General features: G+C 50.5%; 1 protein-coding gene across 4 annotated transcripts; it reads left to right on the forward strand.

The window, feature by feature from the left end:
• Positions 236–11898, forward strand: SERPINA3 (serpin family A member 3). Of its 4 annotated transcripts, none has more exons than NM_001384673.1 (6): positions 236–292; positions 1192–1214; positions 2279–2929; positions 7040–7313; positions 10186–10336; positions 11456–11898. In NM_001384673.1, exons 3-6 carry the CDS (start codon positions 2287–2289, stop codon positions 11657–11659), a joined length of 1272 nt encoding a protein of 423 aa, NP_001371602.1. In that variant the 5' UTR covers positions 236–292; positions 1192–1214; positions 2279–2286; the 3' UTR covers positions 11660–11898. The 4 variants fall into 4 exon arrangements, with proteins under 4 accessions (NP_001371602.1, NP_001371603.1, NP_001371601.1 ...); NM_001384674.1 differs by lacking the exon at positions 1192–1214 and adding an exon at positions 1881–2084; NM_001384672.1 differs by lacking the exon at positions 1192–1214 and having other exon boundaries at positions 236–384.

A 17667-nucleotide genomic window follows, 5' to 3' on the forward strand; every position in this document is an offset into this window, starting at 1 on the left:
AAAAACTAATACAACAAAGGATTTTTTCTGTGTGCTTTTTTGACCTTTGGAGGAAGAGATTAGAGCTAGTCCCATAACCAGGTTATTTGAGTAGGTCTAACAAGCCCGTATTACCAGAAATTATCATCTGGTCATTTCCAGTCCGAGAACAGAACACTTGGTTGTCCTGGCATTTCCCAAGCAGGGGGAGGAGTTCTCTGCAGGAATAAATAAGCCTCAGCATTCATGAAAATCCACTACTCCAGACAGACGGCTTTGGAATCCACCAGCTACATCCAGCTCCCTGAGGCAGGTAATCCATGATGTTTTACATCCTGGGAGCGGAGGAATCTGTTTTTCCAGGAGAGTTTTAGGCAGCAGCCTGGAGTGTGTGGAGTGTGAGGGGTAAGCAGAGGCCAGGAGGAGGTGTACTCAGGTGTTAGGGGCCAGGGGTCTGTTCTTGGCTGCCACTGATTCCCTGTGCCTTTTTTAGAGGCATCCTCTGTGTCTGGGTTTTCACACCTGCAAAGGGTGGAGGTGCCCTGGGGCCTCTATGGTCATTTCTGCCTTGATACTTACAGATTCGGATTTGAGTCAGCTGTGCATCTGACCCTCAGGGAAGAGGTGCTGTCCCCTTGCCTGGAGCAGGGTGCAGCTCTCAGAACATGTGGCAGATGTGATTATTGCAGCAGGTCCCTCTGAGCAGAGGCCACAGGCCTCACCATGATTTCAGGGTCTCCATGGGGCTGCCTCGGGAGCTCCACTTCCCCAAAAGGACCCCTGGCCAAGTCGACAGATGGGCTGTGTCTCTGTCCAGCAACAGAAAAGACAAACTGCTGGGAAACAGCCAGCCCTCCAACTTGCCCAAACAGAAAAGACAAGCCTTTGCCCCTGAAATAATTCTGGAGAAAAATATTGTCTAACATTTATCCAGAGAAATGATTGCATCAGCCTGAGAGTGAACAGTTGAAGCAAACAAGGTGCCTCTGTCCCTGGGCTTGGCCAAAGGCATTTCCACTGGCCTCCCCTCCTTCCCCTCCTTCCCCTCCTTCCCCTCCTTCCCTTCCTTTCCTTCCTTCCCTTCCTTCCACTCTCTCTTCCCCTTTTCTTCTCCTCTCTCTACCCCTCTCCCCTCCCCTCCCTTCCAATCGCCTCTCTTCCCCACTCTTCTCCCCAGCACCCAAGCTGCCCCTTTTCTCTTCTGAATTCTAGGACTGAGTGGGCGGAGGCTGAAGGTGAATAATCTTGTTTGCTGCGGTCACCGGCTTGGAACTCAGCCCTTCCAGGGTCTCTTGTGCAGTAGCTCATGGCTCTTCTCTGGCTTGTAGTTTCAGGAAAGGGGTAGTATGGGAGGTGGTGACTGCTCGGTACGTCTAATATGAACCAGGTGCCTTCATCATTTATCTCACCTGAGCCACTTAACAGGTTGTGCAGAGACGGAAACAGGTTGAGAGATGTACAGTCACCTGCTTGCCAGTACACAGCAATCAAAAGTGGCCAAAATAAAATCCCAGTCCAAGTCTGGGAGACTCCAAAGCCCTCTCTGCCTTCTCCCCACTAAGAGGCCCTTCCAGGCTTATGGTGGACACAGACACCACGTGGCAACCTGGCAGGGGCAGAGAAGAACATTTGCCTTTCTTTGGTCTTGCTGCCAACCATTATCAGGGCCATCGAGGCTCCAGACACTGTACCAGGGACTTTCATTTCCCTCTCTCAGTCGACCCTCACTGCCACCCAGCATCACATCGTGGAGGCCTGTGGAGGCCACACCACGTGACATCTAGAGGCTGGGAGAGTCACTGTGGCCTCTATCTCTGCCCAGGGCTCCTTCATCCCTGGGTTCTACTTTGGTGGCAGTTGGGAGAATGAAGGAAGGGAGCCCCTGCTTTCTAATCCCCTAGGATGAGATCTGCTCACCAAGCAGGAGAGGAGCAGGCATTCTGATTGGACTGAACCTCGGACCCCCCATCAGCTTACAGACCGAGGAGCCAGGCAAACCTGGCTGCCCACTGGGCTCCTTTACCTGTTTGCTGTATGATCTTGGGCAAGCCCCCTCACCGCTCTGTGCCCGGCTTTTCCACTGCAAGAAAATGGCAACAATTATGGTACCTACCTCAAAGGGTGAAATGAAGCAGAGTGATGTGTGTCGGGTGCCCCAGAGAGCACCTACCTGAGGGAGGCTCCAAAGCTAGCAAGAGGCAGCAGGACAGGGACCAGGACGCAGGCTGGGTGGAGGGCAGTGGGAGGTGGTCGGGGCTCCATCTGGCCCTCTGAGACTTAAAGGAGCTTTGCTTTTCAGAGTTGAGAATGGAGAGAATGTTACCTCTCCTGGCTCTGGGGCTCTTGGCGGCTGGGTTCTGCCCTGCTGTCCTCTGCCACCCTAACAGCCCACTTGACGAGGAGAATCTGACCCAGGAGAACCAAGACCGAGGGACACACGTGGACCTCGGATTAGCCTCCGCCAACGTGGACTTCGCTTTCAGCCTGTACAAGCAGTTAGTCCTGAAGGCCCCTGATAAGAATGTCATCTTCTCCCCACTGAGCATCTCCACCGCCTTGGCCTTCCTGTCTCTGGGGGCCCATAATACCACCCTGACAGAGATTCTCAAAGGCCTCAAGTTCAACCTCACGGAGACTTCTGAGGCAGAAATTCACCAGAGCTTCCAGCACCTCCTGCGCACCCTCAATCAGTCCAGCGATGAGCTGCAGCTGAGTATGGGAAATGCCATGTTTGTCAAAGAGCAACTCAGTCTGCTGGACAGGTTCACGGAGGATGCCAAGAGGCTGTATGGCTCCGAGGCCTTTGCCACTGACTTTCAGGACTCAGCTGCAGCTAAGAAGCTCATCAACGACTACGTGAAGAATGGAACTAGGGGGAAAATCACAGATCTGATCAAGGACCTTGACTCGCAGACAATGATGGTCCTGGTGAATTACATCTTCTTTAAAGGTGAGTGTGCCTGGCTTGGGGTTCAGAAGAGGTGGATCTCAGGGCCATTTCTGTCCTGACTCAACAATGGTGTTATTAGGCAAACCACTGTAGAGGAGAGTGCCCACAGCATGGGGGCAGCATAAGCATCAAGGCCCCACCCTGCCCATAGGCATCGCCGTCTCCTGTGGGGTTTTTCCAAATTACAGTTTGTCCTTGGAAGACATAATTCAGTGGAGCCCATCAGCCTCTGGTCTGAGTCAGTGTGGTGCTTTTCACTCTGATTTAAACTTGTCCGGCAAACAGAAAGAAGGAGCTCTCCTTTCAAACCACTCCAGGGCGCGTAGGAGCTAGAGCTCCCTCCTTGCAGGGGTGCTGCTAGACTAGGCCAGGAAGTCCCTCTGTCTGGATGCACCTGGGGCTCCTGCCCTGCACATGTGGGAGGAGCACATTCCAGCCAGGGGCCTTGGTGTCTGGAGGTGGCCAGGTGGGGCTGGGGCCATCTTCACAGGGCAAGATAATCCCCAAGGAGCCTGGCCACTTCCAAGATTCTATGATTCTACTCTGCTATCATCTTTAATTATTTTAAAAAATATGTCACTGACACATAACAAATGAGGGCAGAAATGGCATTGTTCCCATCTGGGGAAGAGCCTCAAGGGTGGGCAGTATACAAAACATGACCCTTTGCCAGATTCTAACTGGTCCAGTGCCCAATCCCATTGATAGAAACTCAACCAATGCAAACCTCAGCCTGCAAGCTCCGAAGGGGCAGAGTGCAAGCCGGTAGCTTTTGCCTCCTGGAGCCCACAGTCCAGATGGGGACAAAAAAAGAGATAGGGACACAAAGAGTGATCACTGAGCCAGAGGGTGGAAAGGTGCTTAGGAGACATGAGCTGCTTGGAGGCAGAGTCCTGCTTGGAAGCTGTTGGTTGATTCCTGGGCAAGCCACTTCCCCTCCTGGGCCTGGGTTTTCATCTGTAAATGAAGGCGTGGATCCAGATCTCCCTCTAAGACTACTCCACGCCTCACGTGCCATTTGTTCTCTGAGTTTCCCATGTTCTCGCCTCCTACTACCTAGCCCTATGCTAGGACTCTCCCCTCCAGGACACAGTAGCCAGCCTAGCTTTCCCCTCCCCACCTGCCTCTAACAATGGGAAACAGGCAGGTGGTAAACAGGTGGGCAGTGGAGGTGGCCCCATGTCTCCAGCCTCCCCTGGAAGCTCCCACCCCCCTCATTGTTCAGTGCTCTGGTCCTCCTGGAGTGGAGACCTGCAGGGCCCCTCCCCTTCCTCTGTTGACCTCTCCTCACTCTCCAGGTGCCAGTTTTGCTCCCTGCCTCAGCCTGGTTTACATACAGTGTATGTGACGGGGCTTGGTCACTGCTGGGGCAGCCCTGTGGAAGGTGGAGGGGACCGAGCATGCATGAGCTTCAGGCTGAGACAGTCCCAGCTCAGAACCCTGGAGTGCTTGTTCCCTCCCTTTCTGCTCTTCCTCTTCCATTGCACCCACTGGACCCAAGAGCATGCAAGGATTGACTCACCCAGTGATGCTAGAACTATGTATTCAGCTGAAAGTAAGGGGGTGGGGGCATCCAACCAGGGGCAGAAGATGGGAATTCAAGAAAGGAAGGTTTCCCCTAGAAAACGGTTTTCGTCTTTTCTCTTAAATCCAGATAGAATAAGAAGCGAAGGCCGTTACAGCAGAGAGAAAGTTGAGTCAAGCAGAGATCAGATACTAAAGACACTAGACTAACCAGACATTCGGGCCCTCAGTTGAACAGCTGAGGATGTCAGAAGATGTTAAGGAGGCAAAATTGGAAAACTTGGTGGCTGGCAGACAGAAATGGGGGGAGATGGGAGCAGATGTGAGAAGATTTAAAGGCTTGTAGAGCTTGGGTGGTGATTTCATCCACCAAACCTATCTCTCTCCCCATTCTGGCATACAAGGCAGCAGTCAGGGTCCCCAGAGGCAGCCCATCTTTCTGGCAGGGACCCATGCTGGAGATCTGGCCAGCTGAAAGGCCCCAAAGGAGCTCGGTGCCCTGGGTAATATGGGAAGGTGCTCCATGGCACTGCCCTCACATGGAGGCCACAGAAGCCCCTGAATGGCTGCTGCAATTGGTAACGGGGACACCTGTTCAACTGAAATATCTCCTACCCTGAGATGGGTCCTTTCTCCAAGGGATCTTTACAATTACATTTGTCCCCAGTCATTCCATGTTGGGAGGCTGCAGGGACCAGAGAAGCTGAGATGGTCTTTGGGGAGGGGAAAGGAAAGATGGACAGTTATTTTGGTCCTAGAAAGCCCAAAGGTGGGGAAGTGTCAAGAAGGAAGATGAGGGCACAAGAGAATGTAGGGCCACCCAGAAGCTGGCTCTCATTGCAATTACAGAAAGAAAAACCAAAATAAAGAAAGAAAGGAAAGAAGCTCCCATTTATTGAGCAGCTACTCTCACCAGCCATTCACATGCAATACCTCGTTTAATTCTCGCAGCGGCTCTGAAAGGTGGATGGTGGTATTGCCATTTGTTAGGTAGGAGACATGCCGTCCAGAAAAGCAAATAATTAAACATTCAAAGTTGACCTGGGCCCATTTGAAAATTCCTTTTGCTCCCTCATTTTAACCCCTAAAGTAAAGCCGTTTGTGACTTTATGAGCTTTTACCAAGCATCTCCTAAAACCAAGAATGGAGGTGAAAGATTGTGGAGCCCACAACCTAGAGAAAGGATTGACAATTTTTTTTCCATAAAGGGCCTAGTAGTATGTATTTTAGGCTGTGTGGTCCACATGAGGGCAGATTCTTCTTTTTGACTTCCTCCTCTGCATCTTCTTCATCTTCTCTTTCCTCTTCATTTTTTTTACAACCTTTGAAAAATATAAGCACCATTCTTAGCTTTAGGTACACACAAAAATAAGCTATGGCTGTATTGGCTTACAGGCTATAGTTTCCTGACCCCTGTTCTAGGGGAGGAAAATAATTGTACCCAACTAAATGCGTGCGAATCATGGGCCTATGTCATGATTCCCAAAGAATGAGTTTCATGGAATTTTCAACATTTTAAATATTTTACTCCATTCTTCCCTTGCTTGCATAGTTTCTGATGAGAAGTCTGCTGTCATTTTCATCCTTATTCCTTTTTAGATAAGGTGGAGTTTTCCTCCCTCTGCCTCTACCTCTACCTCTTTCAAGATTTTCTCTTTCTCTTTACTATGGTAAATAGGCCTTTAGTGAGAGGAGTTATGTCAGCCTGGCTAGGAGTCAGGCTGCATTTCAGGTTTGTGATAGCTAGAGGTACCAGAGGCAGTTTCATGGAATTTTACCTTTGCAACACTGAGAGCCTAGGCAGCCTCAGAGTCAGAACACCCACAGTTGAATCCTCAGCCTGACAGACACTGAATCCAGGGCAAATCTTAGCTGAATATTCATGGTCTGTAGAGGTGGACATGAGCTAGATATGAGCTAAGGACCATAGCCAGCTCATGGCTTTTGTGATGTCCAACACCGCTATCCTCTAAGATGTCACAAGTGTCCCTAGGCTTTTATTCCCATGGTCTCTCCTGGCTCTGAGTTCTATCTTCCATTAAGGTTCTTCCTGTTCCTCCCCTCATTCACACTGATTGGCATCTCTTCTGTCTGCCCTCACCAACTCACATACAGAACCCAGTCTCTTTCCTCTTATTTCCACCCAAAGCCCTCCCACAAGCCACTGTTATATGTTCACATCCCTGTAATACCAGTGAGTAATAATTGCTAATGAGACATTTTTCCTTTTATGGAACAAAGGCTGTCCCATTTCTCCTCAGGCACCAGCCTCCCACATGTTGTCATGCCTCTTTCCCCCACTTTCCCTAAACCTTCTTTCTCTCTTGCACTCCTTATTCCCTGGTTCCTATTGATTTCTCATTTAGCACAAGGAACTAGGTCTTTCTTTTGTGGCCCTTTTCCCAATCCAAGCCTGCTGGGCTCTCCCTCACCCCCAATAACTTTTACTCTTGCCAAGCTACTTCTCTAAACCAAAGCAGGGTCCCTCCTATGAGGGACTCTGGGCACTTCCACTGCTGCGGAAGCAGGGTCGAGCAGGGCGACCCTTGCACTCACACCTTCTCCAACTGCTTGCTCCACCTTCAGCCAAATGGGAGATGCCCTTTGACCCCCAAGATACTCATCAGTCAAGGTTCTACTTGAGCAAGAAAAAGTGGGTAATGGTGCCCATGATGAGTTTGCATCACCTGACTATACCTTACTTCCGGGACGAGGAGCTGTCCTGCACCGTGGTGGAGCTGAAGTACACAGGCAATGCCAGCGCACTCTTCATCCTCCCTGATCAAGACAAGATGGAGGAAGTGGAAGCCATGCTGCTCCCAGAGACCCTGAAGCGGTGGAGAGACTCTCTGGAGTTCAGGTGATTCTTCCTGGCCCCCAAAGACCCCACATCTCTCCACGTCAAGGTCTCACCAATGTCCAGGGACAAGGGCATGGTGGTGGGAGAACTCATACAGGGACAGGTGGAATTTACACTTACTTTGCCCTATGCTGCCTACATGGCTTTGGGCTTGATTTTTCTTTTTCTTCTTTAAGACAATGACATCAGACAGGACAAGGGGCTGAGGCTTCCTCTGACTCCAGCATGTTCTAAGTCATGAGAAATCTTCTGCACAGTCCCAAACACTCATGCATGGTTTCTCCTGGTCTCAATCTCTTGAAGGGAGAGAGAAACAGAAGGAATTGTGATCAGTTGAGGGCTGCAGTGAGATGGACTCTGAGAATCAGTTCTGCACTGGTGAACCACTGTATTTATTCATTCTCTCAGCATTTGCTGCATGATTAATTGAGCACCTACTATGTGTCAGACACTAATTTGCACCCTGAGAGTAAATCAGCAAATAAAACACAAGATTCCCTGCCCTCCTGGAGCTTAATTTGTAATTGGAGAGGGGACAGGCAATAAATAAATATAACAAATAAGTTACGTGATATATTAGAAGGTGAGAAATTGAGTAAGGGGATAGAAATTGAGTAGAGGAGGATGAAAGGATCAGGAAAACTGGAACTCGTGTTAGTTTGTGATTTTAGATAGAGTAGCCATTAGGTGATGTTTGAGCATCCATATAACAGAGGGGAGGGGTGGAGTCATGTTGGTATATTAGGGAAAAGCATTCCTGGCAGAGGGAACAGTCAGTGCAAGGCCTCTGAGGTGGAAGTGAGCTTGATGTGGTCAAAGAAGAGTCAGGCCAGAGCAGCTGGGCTTCCACTTCCTCCATCTTGTCTTGATCAGGGAGGATGAAGAGTGCGCTGGCATTGCCTGTGTACTTCAGCTCCACCACGGTGCAGGAGCAGAGAGAGTGAGGAGAGAGTTGAGAGAGGTCAGGAGTCCCCAAAGGGGTGGAGCAGCTTAGGTAGGGCCACGTAGACCCCTAGAAAACCTTGCCCTTCCTCCTGTGTGTGAAATGGAGAGCCATCAGGAGGTTTGGAGGAGTGCTGCGATCCGAGTGTTGTTTTAAAAGACTAATCCTGGCTGCTGAGAGGAGAATAACTGTAGAGCAGGTATGGAGTCAGTGACACCCGCAGGAACCAGGCACAGACATGAGGTGGGAGCCCACTGTGGCTGGGATCCAGGAGGGAGCCATGCATGTGAGAAGTCATTGAGTTCTGGATAAATCTGAGGGTAGAGGAACTTGCTGGGACACACGGAATTGAGCTGACCGATTTCATGGGGACACAGTGAGGAGGAGCAGTAGTTCCGGGCCCAGACCCTGCAGTGGGCCCAGGGAGTGCATGTGGGCAGCTGTGTGGGGTAGAGAGGAAGGAGCACCAGCCTTGGGTTCAGACCGTGGTGGCTGGTGTGACCTGGAGCAGGTCGCTGCTCTTCTCTGGAGCTCAGCTACCTCCTGAAGAGAAAGGAATGTCCTTTCCCCACCACCCCTGTTTTCACTGGGTGATTGTGAGAATCCGGTGAGGTATTGTATGTTGAAGCCATAATAAACCACTAAGGGCAAGGGAGCTGCTTCAACACTAACCTGAGGCTGCAACCCCTGCCCCAACCACTGTCCAGAAGGCCGGACACCTCTCGGGATTGCCTGACCCTCAGCCCCTCCTCACTCTAGATCCCAGGAGACCCCAGAACGTGGGGGTCCTACCCAACCCATCCGTTTACTCCCAGACTCCTTCCTCCTTTAGCACCTAATAGCCACCAGGGAGCAGGGGCTCAGCAGATAATTTTGAGTGGAAAGAATTCTCCAAACACTTTTGATTTACAAAATGCTGAGGAAACATGTGTCCACACACTCCTGGCCCACAGAGAATGCTCAATAGATACTTGTTGAATGAAGGATGGAATGAACGGACAAACACATGAATGAATGAATAAAAATAGAAATAGGACACCTTCCTCCTTCAGGGGACTCAGAGTTTAATGGAAGACACAGCCTCCTGTATAATTGTAAGACCAGGCAGACAGTGACAGGCATCTTAAGAGGGCTATAAACTAAGGGAGGGGGAGTTTGCAGGTGGCAGGTGTGACCTGGGCCTCTAGGAGCTTGCTACCTGCTCTATGCCAGCCCACACCTGGCTTGAGGGACAGTGCCCACTGGTGAGGCAAGATGGGAACCTCCAATTGATTGTTTCAGGATCCCCAAAGCTCTTCTAACACAATCAGACTCTTCAGAGGCCCCCAGGCCCTTTTTGACCTGCCTCTGGCTCCTGGCCCACCTCATCCCTCACTACCCTCCTCCCTGAAACACTGAGATCACCCACCGCCCCGTGGAGCAACTCCTCCTGCTCCCACCTTCTTCCAGGTTCTTCCACCTGCCTCCTGCCCACCTCTTCACCTAGCTAGCTCCTTTCCTGCCTTTGGGACTCAGCCTCAACACCACCTCCTACAGGAAGCCCTCCTGGTGCCCCCGTGAAGCAGGCTGCCATGCAGCCACTGCAGCTGGCCCAGCCCAGGCTCTCAACACACTCAGGGGTCCCTGCTGGTGTGAAGGTGCTTCAACTGCATTGCAAGCTGCAGGGAAAGGGCAGGGCCAGGCTCGAGCAGGGCCACAACTCCAGGCTTGGTGTGCTGCCTGGAGACTTTCACACTTGCAGATCTGAATGAATAATTAATGAATAAGAAGAGTAAAGACAGGGGTTAAGAAATTGAGGAACAGATTATTTATTTTCCAATCAGAAGGGGGTGACTGTAGAGGAAACCAGGGAAGACCATGCTGCGAGGTGGGAGGCAGGTAGGTACTGATCAGCAGAGGTTCAGATACTTTTTTTTTCTCGTTTTCTAGAGAGATAGGTGAGCTCTACCTGCCAAAGTTTTCCATCTCGAGGGACTATAACCTGAACGACATACTTCTCCAGCTGGGCATTGAGGAAGCCTTCACCAGCAAGGCTGACCTGTCAGGGATCACAGGGGCCAGGAACCTAGCAGTCTCCCAGGTGAGTCTTTAGACTTGGGTCAATTCATCCTTTGTATCCGAACTTGAATTGGTGAAGGCCAGATGGACTTTTGGGTACTCTTGAACTTGGGTTAATGCACGTGCATTTCTCATTATATACTCACCCTGCTTGGGACACCCCCAAGCCAAGAAGAGCTAGGTTACAGCCCAGCTCCTCCTGCCGTGTTAGGGGTTGAGCCTCTACAACATAATGTCATCCAGGCTTGGAATCAGAGAGCCATGGACACCATTCCACACTATACCATTTACTATCCATGGGGGCAAACAATTAAAGTCCTCCACCCCCAGCTTTCCATGTGTCAAATGGTAGTGATAGTTCTTGGCTAGTATCCAGTGCCTGGCTGGACAGGGAATGCCAATAGGTAATAACAATGATTATCTGGCAATTGTAATGAAAATATGCTCGGAGTATGAGAGAAGACTACTTGGGACACTCAGCCTGTGTTACTAAAAGCAGAGGCGCCAAGGCAGGGTGGCCATGCAGCCTTTTGCTCTTGTCTGCCCTCTGTGCTCACACAGCACTGGGTTGAGGTCTGCACTCCACCTTTCAAACAGCAAAGTAAGAGAGGGTTGTGTGTAGAGGAGCAGACCCGTATGGTTCAGGAATTCAAGGCCATGAAAAGTACTTGAAAGCCCCAAGGATGTTTAAGCTAGAGCAGGAGAGATGCTGAAAGCCATGCTGGCTTGGCTGAGGAGGTTTCTGCAGCAGCTGCTTGTGGTCAAGAGCTGCCGGGATGTTGCTTAGAAGAAAAATGCTTTACATTGTTCTTGCTCTTCCTCCCAACAGTAGTGGCTGTTTTGGGGGCAAAATAGACTCTCAACTCAGACACAAAGGGATGCATATGAGGTGCTCCATTCTTTACCTCGATGGCTCTGGGCAAATCATACTCAGCATCTGGGTCTCCATTTGCACATCTAGGCATCAGGACTGTGCAAAACTAGTTGGCAGGGGAGTTGGGAGGAGCAAACATTCAACAGCACAAAGACAGGCCAGCACTAGGTGCTCAATGCACATTAGACCCCTTAGTGGCACACAGGCAGGTCGCTGAACTCCTGCGCATCTGTGTTTCCCGTGTGTAATGTTCTGCTGTCCCCACAGGTGGTCCATAAGGCTGTGCTTGATGTATTTGAGGAGGGCACAGAAGCATCTGCTGCCACAGCAGTCAAAATCACCCTCCTTTCTGCATTAGTGGAGACAAGGACCATTGTGCGTTTCAACAGGCCCTTCCTGATGATCATTGTCCCTACAGACACCCAGAACATCTTCTTCATGAGCAAAGTCACCAATCCCAAGCAAGCCTAGAGCTTGCCATCAAGCAGTGGGGCTCTCAGTAAGGAACTTGGAATGCAAGCTGGATGCCTGGGTCTCTGGGCACAGCCTGGCCCCTGTGCACCGAGTGGCCATGGCATGTGTGGCCCTGTCTGCTTATCCTTGGAAGGTGACAGCGATTCCCTGTGTAGCTCTCACATGCACAGGGGCCCATGGACTCTTCAGTCTGGAGGGTCCTGGGCCTCCTGACAGCAATAAATAATTTCGTTGGACACGTTGCTTGTGCCTTTCCATGCTGACTATCAGACTCTGCGCCCCTGAGGCTACCTGTGCCCCAAAGACAAGCCCCTTGAGCTCCCATGCAGGCTCAGCTCCACCCCAAGATCTGGGCTCCTTCTGCCTTCAGCTGCAGCAGCCTGCCCAGGACTACCTAAGCTTGTGGCCAAGCTCACCCAGACCTCAGGCCCAGGGTTGGGAGGGGACCCTGCTGCTCTAAGGCCAATTCCTGCCCCCCAGGCTTCTGGGTGCCCACTTTCAGTTTCTCTCCTTCCACCCCCAGGGCCCAGGCTCCACCTGGCTCTTTCCAGAGCTCCTAGCCCTGACCACATCTGGCACAGCCCCCGGACTCCTTGCTCCTGCAGCTGTGCAGGGCTTTATCATGCGACATCCTTCTTCTGCCCTTTAGCACCCCCAATTTGGGGGAAGTAGCTACTTTCTGGGTTTCCAGATGGAGCCCCTCAACTGCCTCACCAGTTCCTAGCCCTGGCTCTGTGAATGATCTCCCTCAACAACCAGAATGCAGGGCTGAGGACAAATGAGCCATCAGCGCACAACTGCAATAAAGCAATCGTGTAGTCAGGCATTTAACCGAGGCTCCCAGGCACCTTGCAATCTCTATCACAAAGGCAACAATGATACTGTTGACAACAGCTCAGTACTTGAGGTTTTGATGCCAGACAACCTGCCAAGATCTCTCCCTGAAATAGCCAATTGAATCCTCCTCACGTCCCTATGAGATAAATGCTCTCAGCAGTCCCATTCTATGGATGAGGAAACTGAGGTGCAGAGAGGCTTAGTAATTTTCCCAAGGCTACAGAGCTAGTAATTATTGCCTGTAGAATGTTATCCCAACCCTCCTGACACCACAGGCGCCCTCTTAACCACAAAGTGATTTCCGTAGGGATTGCCTTCATGGAACGTACAACCCGATGGCAAATAGATGGTGAAACAAGTCTGTGGAAGCTGAGGGAGAGCACCAAATTCAGTTTGGGAAGTCAGGGAAGGCTTCTTGGAGGAGGCAACTTCTGTGCTGAGGTCAGGGAAAGAGAAGGTGGTCAAGTGAACAGAGAGGACAATGCTTCAGATGGGAAAAAGAGCAATGGTAGCATTCAAGAAACCAAAAGAAGTTGGGTGGCTCTGGGGCAAAGAGCAGAGAGGCTGAGGGGCTACAGAGAGGAAGGTGCCATGACAGAGCTGGTGGGCTGCAGAAGGGCTGGCCGCTGGCAAGGATTCCCAAGTGATTCCTTAGAGCCACAGGGAGCTCTAAGCGAGTTTAAACACAGAGGTGATGGAAGCAGCTTTACACACTAGAGAAGGACCCTGGCTGCTGAGTAGAAAAGTGATTCATAGCCCAGGACAAGGATGTGGGTTGGACATCGAGGGGGCTCTGTGGGAACTGGGGCAAAATAGGTCAGAGCTGGGGAGGGAGAGCGGGATGATTCTGTTGGAAGGCTTTGAGGAGAATGGGTGTGAATTTATGATTGCAGGTGGGGTGGAAGGGAGAATAACTATTTGGGTTTGGGTGCCTGGGTGATCCCCAGTTCTCTGAATAGGAAACCCAGCAGGGACTTGCTGGCAAGGGAAGTCGATACATTCAGATTTGAACCTCCCATGTCTGAGGTTCCTGGGAGACACCCCAGGGGTTTGTTCAGGAAGCAGCTAGGCTGAGGTCAGGAGAGAAATCTGGGCTGGAGGGAAGCATTCAGGATCCTCCCCTGGGATGGGCAAGTGAGTATTGAGGGTGTCCCCTCAAATGAGTGCCATGGAGTGAAAAGAAAAGGGAAACCTCAATGACTGGCTAAGAAAGGGCAGCCCACCGAGGAAAGTCACCAGCGTGGGGCAGGAGACAAGAGGACAGGACGAAAGCTGTCGCCGCAGGAACAAGAGGAGATACTTATCCGGGGGAGAGGGGAGAAAACCTAGAGACAAATGATGAATGAATGGAATGAATGGGTCTGTGGGATTTAGTGATCTAAAACCACTCGGGGATCACAAGTGCAATGTTAGCAGAATTAAGGGAGGACCACAGTGGGCTGGAGAGTGAGCAGGAGAGGGAGAGAGGGAAGGCAAGACAGCGTGTAGGGAAAAAAGAGATCAGACTGTTACTGTGTCTATGTAGAAAGGAAAGACATAAAAGACTCCATTTTGAAAAAGACCTGTACTTTGAACAATTGCTTTGCTGAGATGTTGTTAATTTGTAGCTTTGCCCCAGCCACTTTGCCCCAACCTTGAGCTCACAAAAACATGTGTTGTATGAAATCAAGGTCTAAGGGATCTAGGGCTGTGCAGGATGTGTCTTGTTAACAAAATGTTTACAGGCAGTGTGCTTGGTAAAAGTCATCGCCATTCTCTAGTCTCAATAAACCAGGGGCACAATGCACTGCGGAAAGCTGCAGGGACCTCTGCCCTTGAAAGCAGGGTATTGTCCAAGGTTTCTCCCCATGTGATAGTCTGAAATATGGCCTCATGGGATGGGAAAGACCTGACCGTCCCCCAGCCCGACACCCGTAAAGGGTCTGTGCTGAGGTGGATTAGTAAAAGAGGAAGGCCTCTTGCAGTTGAGATAGAGGAAGGCCACTGTCTCCTGCCTGCCCCTGGGAACTGAATGTCTCGGTATAAAACCTGATTGTACATTTGTTCAATTCTGAGATAGGACAAAAACCGCCCTATGGTGGGAGGCGAGACATGTTTGCAGCAATGCTGCCTTGTTATTCTTTACTCCACTGAGATGTTTGGGTGGAGAGAAACATAAATCTGGCCTACGTGCACATCCAGGCATAGTACCTTCCCTTAAACTTAATTATGACATAGATTCTTTTGCTCACATGTTTGTTGCTGACCTTCTCCTTATTATCACCCTGCCCTCCTACTACATTCCTTTTTGCTGAAATAATGAAGATAATAATCAATAAAAACTGAGGGAACTCAGTGCCGGTGCAGGTTCTTGGTGTGCTGAGCACCGGTCCCCTGGGCCCACTGTTGTTTCTCTATACTTTGTCTCTGTGTCTTATTTCTCTTTCCCGGTCTCTCGTCCCACCTGACTAGAAATACCCATAGGTGTGGAGGGGCAGGCCACCCCTTCACAGTGTGCAAATGCCTATTTAGAGACTGGCCTTTAGGGGAGGTGAGAGAGAGGGTGGTGGGTAGTGAGTGCTAGGCTGAAGTTAGCTGCAGTGCTTGACAGATGTGAGAGCCTTGAACAAGCTTTCATAACCATAGAAAGGATTCAGGAGGCAGGGTGACAAGCAACCAGGGTCGCAGAGTGGCACAACTCCTCAGGTTACAATTCACAGGTGGTTTGACACCATCCTAAGTTACAGTTCACAGGTGGTTTGACATCGCCTTCAACTCGGAGTTGCAGAATTAGCAGTTGGCCAGGCTGCATGAAGCATCCCTGGAAAGGGAACAGGTGGAGGGCTGGAGGGCCAGGATCAAGGATCAAGGATTCCACTGTGATGGGAATGCAGGCAGGGCCTGGCGAGGGGGCTGGTGAGGGAGTGTGTTTCTTGGTAGGATCAGGTGGGACCTCCTCTCCTCCAATGACTCTGATGATTCCTAGTATAGGAGGCAAAGTCACCTGCTTAGTGATATTTGCCACAGGTTGGGGCAGGAAAAGGCACAAAATGGGACACAGAGTGGGCCACGGTGTCACGGCAGTTCAGCCAGGCTCACTGATGAGCGCCTTGGAGATCCAGCTGCAGGAATTCTTGGTGGTTCCAGGCTTTACAGACAGTTGTGGAATCCCCCATCTTGTGGAATATTTCTCCATTCTTACCAGCCCCTTTGTGGGCTTCAAGAAGGCCAACTGCTGATCAGAAGGACAGGAGTCAAGGGGGCTGGAGGTACAGACTACAGAAGGGTTGACATCATGGACTTGAGACCAGCACTGGGGGGTACAGATGAGGGCAGAGGGAGCTGATCACTGAGGAAGACTGAGGATGGGGAGATGGGGTCCCTAGGAGGTCCAAGAATGACCTGTTAGAAGTGCCATATGAACTACAAAGGCTACTTTTCCCCCCCAAAGAGGATTTTTTCACATTGACTCTCAGTTTTCTCAACTGTAAAGTGGAAACCATGACAGTGTGTGCATGCCTGTGTCATCCGTGTGTAAGAAGTCAGCAAGTCACTGAAATGCTTGCTCCTGAGTCTGAACGTTCCCTTGACAGCAATTTAAAAACTCCTGAGATGATCTTTTCCATGTGAACTAACTCCTCATCCAGGCTGGCATGGCTTCTCGTCACTCAGCTGGGGCTGGATGGCATTGCACTGGACAAGGCTCTGACCTGCCCACCTGCCCAGCTCCTGCCCCCGGTCCCTCCTGACCCCAGTCCAGGTGTCTAAGGAGCCTTACCACAGCCCAGCATTCATTCCCTTCTGTGACTTAGGTCTGGAAATTGCTGGCTGAAAACTGAGTTCCTCCCTTAAGGGAGCGTCTGGGCCCCAGATCTGTGAGGGTGGGGCTTAGTTTCATTCTTCCGCCTCCCCTGGGGGCTGAGGGCCCATCCACCTGCTGGTCACTAGCTATTGCCCTTAAATGGCTTCCTGACGCTAGCTGCAGGGACAAGACAGCACCTGTCCTGATTTACTACCTCCCTCACTAACCAAAAGTGAAGTCCAAGCCTGAGAGGCACTGACACCAATAAAAGACACCTACTTACTCTCTCATTCAGCCCACGCAAATTGCCAACCCTCCAAATGCAGGCCCTGAGCTGGCCCTGGAGATTCCGAGGTTAAGAAAGTGGACCTGGAATTTGCCCTCATAGAATGTTCAATTTGTTGAGCAAGACAGAAAACTGAGCATGGATGTGACAGCAGCCCTCGGGAGTGGGGTACGTGATGCCCAGAGAGGGCAGGAATAAACCCCAGACTAGAAGAGTCAAGTTTGGTCTCCTAGAAGAGCTGTCCTCAAATGCAAAATCCAGTACAGTGAAGAGGAGACACCAGGGAGATGTACCAGCAGAAAAGGAGAGGGAGTGCAGTGTGTCCATGGAGCTAGAAGAAGATCCTATGTTCTGGATAACTGATGTTTGAGGGAACCATGGTCATCTGTGGAGCTAAAGAGAAAAACATGAACAAGACCATGCTTTGTAAATCATGTTAAGGATCTCAGAGTTTATTCAAAGAGTGATGAGCCACAGTGAATATTATACACAGGGAGCTGTTTTGATTAAGTTTCATTAGAAAGATCACCGTGGCTGAGCAGGGAAGGATGGATACAGTATTGAGTGTGGATTTGGTGAAAAGAAGAGAAGCAGAATGACCAAGAGGTTCAGCCTTAGCTAGGAATTGGGAGAGGACAGAGAGGAAAGGAGACTAATTGGAGAGATATTTATTAGACAGAATTGATGAGACTTCATGGTTGATTGTGTGGGGGACAGAAAGGAAGCAAAGTTGCTGGGTCGGGAACTTGGGGAACTGAAATCCACATGCCATTCTATGAGCTAAGCATTACAGAATGAATAACGTTTTGTGCAGGAAGCAGATAAGTCCTCATGTGGGCATGTGGAGTTGGAGATGTCTGTAGGCCATCTAAGAAGAGAAGTCCAATAGAGAATGGGCTCTATGGATCTGAACTTCAATAGGGAAATTTGGGCAGGAGGGATGGATTTCAGGATTTCTTCTTGTCAAAAATGTGAGGACACCCCTGGCAAATGACTTCTATTTTTCCCTGTGCCATACAAAGAGATGTTATCTGCTGAGTCCACCATGGGGAAGCATAAAACCCAGAAGTCTGGAGGAGGGGAGACGAGGACACTTCAGGA

This window comes from Homo sapiens, chromosome 14 (genome assembly GCF_000001405.40).
Source record: "Homo sapiens chromosome 14, GRCh38.p14 Primary Assembly".
Classification (NCBI taxonomy): domain Eukaryota; kingdom Metazoa; phylum Chordata; class Mammalia; order Primates; family Hominidae; genus Homo; species Homo sapiens.

Excerpts from the sequence above, each read along its gene's own strand:
- SERPINA3 (NM_001384672.1), top strand. The coding sequence starts at position 2,287 with ATGGAGAGAATGTTACCTCTCCTGGCTCTGGGGCTCTTGGCGGCTGGG. Across the intron at positions 2,930-7,039 it reads GAATTACATCTTCTTTAAAG|CCAAATGGGAGATGCCCTTT; the intron begins GTGAGTGTGCCT and ends CTCCACCTTCAG. Across the intron at positions 7,314-10,185 it reads AGAGACTCTCTGGAGTTCAG|AGAGATAGGTGAGCTCTACC; the intron begins GTGATTCTTCCT and ends CTCGTTTTCTAG.